Here is a 4,423-nt window from a genome sequence, read left to right as displayed (position 1 = left end):
TTTGTGAAAGGAGACTACATAGAAGTTTGAATATCGAGGAGGTAAGATTGATTGAGAACAATCTTGGAGGCTGGCTACCACATGGACATTGTGGTTACTTGCATTTGTTACTATTGTCATTGCAATTGATACCACTATTAGGAATGATGACAGTCTTGTAAGCCAGAGGGGAATAGTCTGCACATTGTAAGGTCTATGTGAGGCTGAAATGATGTAGCACCCGGCCAGGCGCAGTGGCTCACGCCTGTAATCCCAGCACTTTGGGAGGCCAAGGCAGGCAGATCACCTGAGGTCAGGAGTTCGAGACCAGCCTGACCAACATGGAGAAACCCCATCTCTACTAAAAATACAACATTAGCCGGGCATGGTGGTGCATGCCCGTAATCCCAGCTACTCGGGAGGCTGAGGCAGGAGAATCACTTGAACCCAGGAGGCGGAGGTTGTGGTGAGCCAAGACCACACCATTGCACTCCAGCCTGGGCAACAAGAGCAAAACTCTGTCTCAAAAAAAAAAAAAAAAAAAAAAAAGATGTGGCACCCACAACAGTGCTAATTGTGATGATGATGATAATGATGATGATGACTACAGCAAATTTTAGGGACGTGTTTAATGTATACTAGGCCCCTGTTCTAGACTCGTTAAATGTATAAACTCATTCAATTTACATAATGCTTGAGATAGCTACAATTATTATATTCACCTTTTCCACATGAATAATCTGAGTCACAGAGGAATGAAGGAGCTCGCCCAAGATCACAGAGCTAGTCAACAGCACAGAGAGATTCAAACCCAGGACAGATAACTACAGAGTCCATTATACCAACCCCCATGCAATGCTGCCCCTCAAAAGACATCACTAGTATGATCATTCACAGTCTCTGTTATAGTGTTGTATATAATTATGCTGTAGTTATAACAGAGTATAATAGTTATAGCATAGCTATAATGCTTTTCCTGAGAAGGCTGGTTAATCCTACACCTTCACTCCCAGCGCATAAAAATGCATGCATAGCTGGGTGCGGTGGTTCACGCCTGTAATCCCAGCACTTTGGGAGGCCAAGGCAGGTGGATCACCTGAGGTCAGGAGTTCAAAACCAGCCTGGCTAACATGGTGAAACCCCGTCTCTACTAAAAATACAAAAATTAGGCAGGCGCCTGTGATCCCAGCTGAGGCAGAAGACTCGCTTGAACCCGGGAGGCGGAGGTTGCAGTGAGCCGAGATCGCGCCCAGCCGATTTGGAGGGTTTTTTAAAAAGCATATTCCTGCTATCTCGGGTAGCCTGTGTTCTATGTGTATCTGCACCAGTTTATACCTTGCCTTTTCATTCTCTTTACTATCACTTGATGAACAAAAATTATTATTTTAATATAGTCAGTTTTATCAACCTTTTATATATAATACTTTTTTGGTGTTCTGTTTAAGAGATCTTTCCATTGCCACAGAGTCTAAAACACATTTACTAATATTTTTACTAAAAGTCTTAAAGCTATGTTTTTAACATTTGAATCATTAATACACATAGGATTGGTTTTTGCATATGCTACCAATTCAATTTCTTTTATTGTTTTTGGCCTATCCAAATTTTCTTCCTATACATGGCAATTTTCATCTGTGTTTTCCTAGGAAACTTCCTATTTTATTACATTTTCAAATGGATTTCTCAAAATATCCTTAGAATTCTCTTGAGTTTTAAATCTTTCTCTCAGTAGTAATGTTCCTTTTTCTTTCTCATGTTGTTTTCTTTCTCTATTTTTTTCAAAATAGACTTTTTTAATTTTAATTTTATTTTTTTGAGACAGAGTCTTGCACTGTCGCCCAGGCTGGAGTGCAGTGGCGCGATCTCAACTCACTGCAACCTCTGCCTCCCGGGTTCAAGTGATTCTCCTGCCTCACACTCCCGAGTAGCTGGAACTACAGGTGTGCACTGCCACACCCAGCTAATTTTTGTATTTTTAATAGAGACAGAGTTTCACAATGTTGGCCAGGATGGTCTCGACCTCTTGACCTCGTGATCCGCCTGCCTTGGCCTCCCCAAGTGCTGGGATTAGAGGCGTGAGCCACGGGCACCCAGCCTTTAATTTTTATTTTAAGTTCTGGGGTACGTGTGCAGGATGTGCAGGTTTGTTACATAGGTAAACGTGTGCCATGGTGGTTTGCTGCACCTGTCAACCCATCACCTAGGTGTTAAGCCCAGGATGCATTAGCTATTTTTCCTAATGCTCTCCCTCCCGCCACCCCACCCCCAACAGGCCCCAGTGTATGTCGCACCAGGAAACCAAACAAATTGTGTGACTCGCTTTATTGTAGTGGTCTAGAACCAAACCCTAAATATCGCTGAGGTATGCCTGTGTTTGTATAATACTATTGTTATGGAAATAAAAGGGTCTCAATCCAGACTCCAAGAGAGGGTTCTTGATCTCATGCAGGAAAGAATTCCAGGTGGGTTGTAGAGTGCAGTGAGAAGAGATAGTTTATTGAAAGCTACTCCACAACAGAGTAGGGTGTCCTCAGAAAGCAAGTGGAGGAACATCTGTTAAGCTTTTCTTATATAGGGGTCTTGTCTATGTAAAGACTAAAGTAAGCTGTGCCTATGCGTGGGTGGCCTGACATTATGACAAAATTTATTATTCTATTGATTTAAAGAAAACTATCCCTGACATTTTAGTAAGTACATCAAAGTATAACTATAATGATCTTGAAAGCATTTATTGTTATGGGTATTGGACATCTGGACTTTCTGTTGTTCTAGGAGTTTGTCTTTGCAGGCATTACAGGGCTGCTTCCTTCGCTGTAAACACATTAGGACCATGAGTTGTGACTTGCAATGAATGTGCCTTGCTAGTGTCAAGATGGAGCTGAACTTAAAATGGTGTCACTCTGGGTCTCCTAGGTTTCATCTTCCCTAACACTATGACCACACCTGCTGTCTTCTTGATGTTTCCTTGTAAATGTTTTTAATTCCTTTCTTTTTAAATTAGAAATTTACTATGAAAATTTCACACAAATACTATGGAAGAGAACATTATAATGAGTTCTGTCTACTTATCACTCTGCTTTAACATTTATCAACATTTTCTTTTGCAATACCATATACCCCTTCTCAGTGGAGTTTTTTTTTTCTCAGTGGAGTTTTTAAAGCTAATATTATTCCACCCATAAATATTTCCACACGAATCCCTAAAAGTTAAGTCATCTTCTTTTTAACAGAGCTGCATTACTGACAAAATCAACAGTAATTCTTAGCCCCTTGGTAGAAATTGTGTGTTTACTAACGGACTTCCACAGATGTTTCCTTAGACCGTCCTTTCGGAGAAGAAAGAAAACCTGAGATCAGCAGAGTCTAATTCTCTAAACATATTTTTAAGCCGAGTCCCAGAGACAGACATAACTGGCCTGAAGGCATCCAGCATGCCCACATCAGAGTGTAGGTTCAATTCCCTGAAAACAAGTTTCCCACCTGCTGGAACTGAACACATTGGGTAGTAATTTCCCACCACTGTTCAGGTAGAACTTCCTGTCAGAAGCTGAGCTGTGAATCATGTTTAGGAGTTCACCAAGTGAAAGGAATTGTATCTTTACAACTCCTCATCCACACCCTCCAAAAAGGGGAGTAAGGAGGTTTCAGAATTTCCACAGAGGAGAAGCTAAGGGTCAGAGACTGCACTTAAAGCTTCATTGACATGGTAAGGCGATTGTTATTAATTATATTTTAACTTCAAGGTAAATAAAAACAGTCTTCTTTAGGTGCTTTTAGTAACACGTTGGCCATACTAAAGACTATTAGTGTTGTTATTATTGCTGCCTACTATAGTTGCACTTGAGGTATTTAGTGTGGAGGGTAATGGGTGATTCAAATCTCTATTCACCTTCCCACCCGACCCAGCCCTTCAGAAGGGGACGCCCGGACTTCTCCTCCCTCCTCTGGTGGTATCTCCCAGGAGAGGATTGTATTAATACTATTGGACTTCTACCCTATTTCCCAAGGCGGTTTCTCCCATTAAAAGTTGTACCACTCTTCCTGCAGCCTACTACTCATTCAGATGTCTCTCAGACTTTCAGGGTGGTTTCACTCAAGAGATGACTCCCCTAGTGACCTTTCCACCTTTTCCCTGAATGGCGTCTGTAAAAAATGGACTGTACTATCCTGATTCCTCCTATCATCTGCCTGTGGTTTCTCCCAGGATCCCCTTCACTTGGTGATTTTTCCCTGGCTCCTCTATTCCCTGGTAATTATTATCCTCAGTGTCCTGTATTCAGAAAGGTAACTTAGCTTTTCTAAATATAACATACAGCACCAGACCCACATTTCCAGTAACTTTCTCCTCCGAAATAGAAGCCTAGTCAGACAAGGGTCACACTCCAGCATCCTATGTAACTATACCTGCCTCGCTCTAGGAAACCCTGCCAGCGGCCAATTCCTC

This window comes from Homo sapiens, chromosome 19, assembly GCF_000001405.40.
Source record: "Homo sapiens chromosome 19, GRCh38.p14 Primary Assembly".
NCBI classification, from domain to species: Eukaryota; Metazoa; Chordata; class Mammalia; order Primates; family Hominidae; genus Homo; species Homo sapiens.
The sequence above is the reverse complement of the archived record's forward strand: the minus strand, read 5'-3'. Positions refer to the sequence as shown.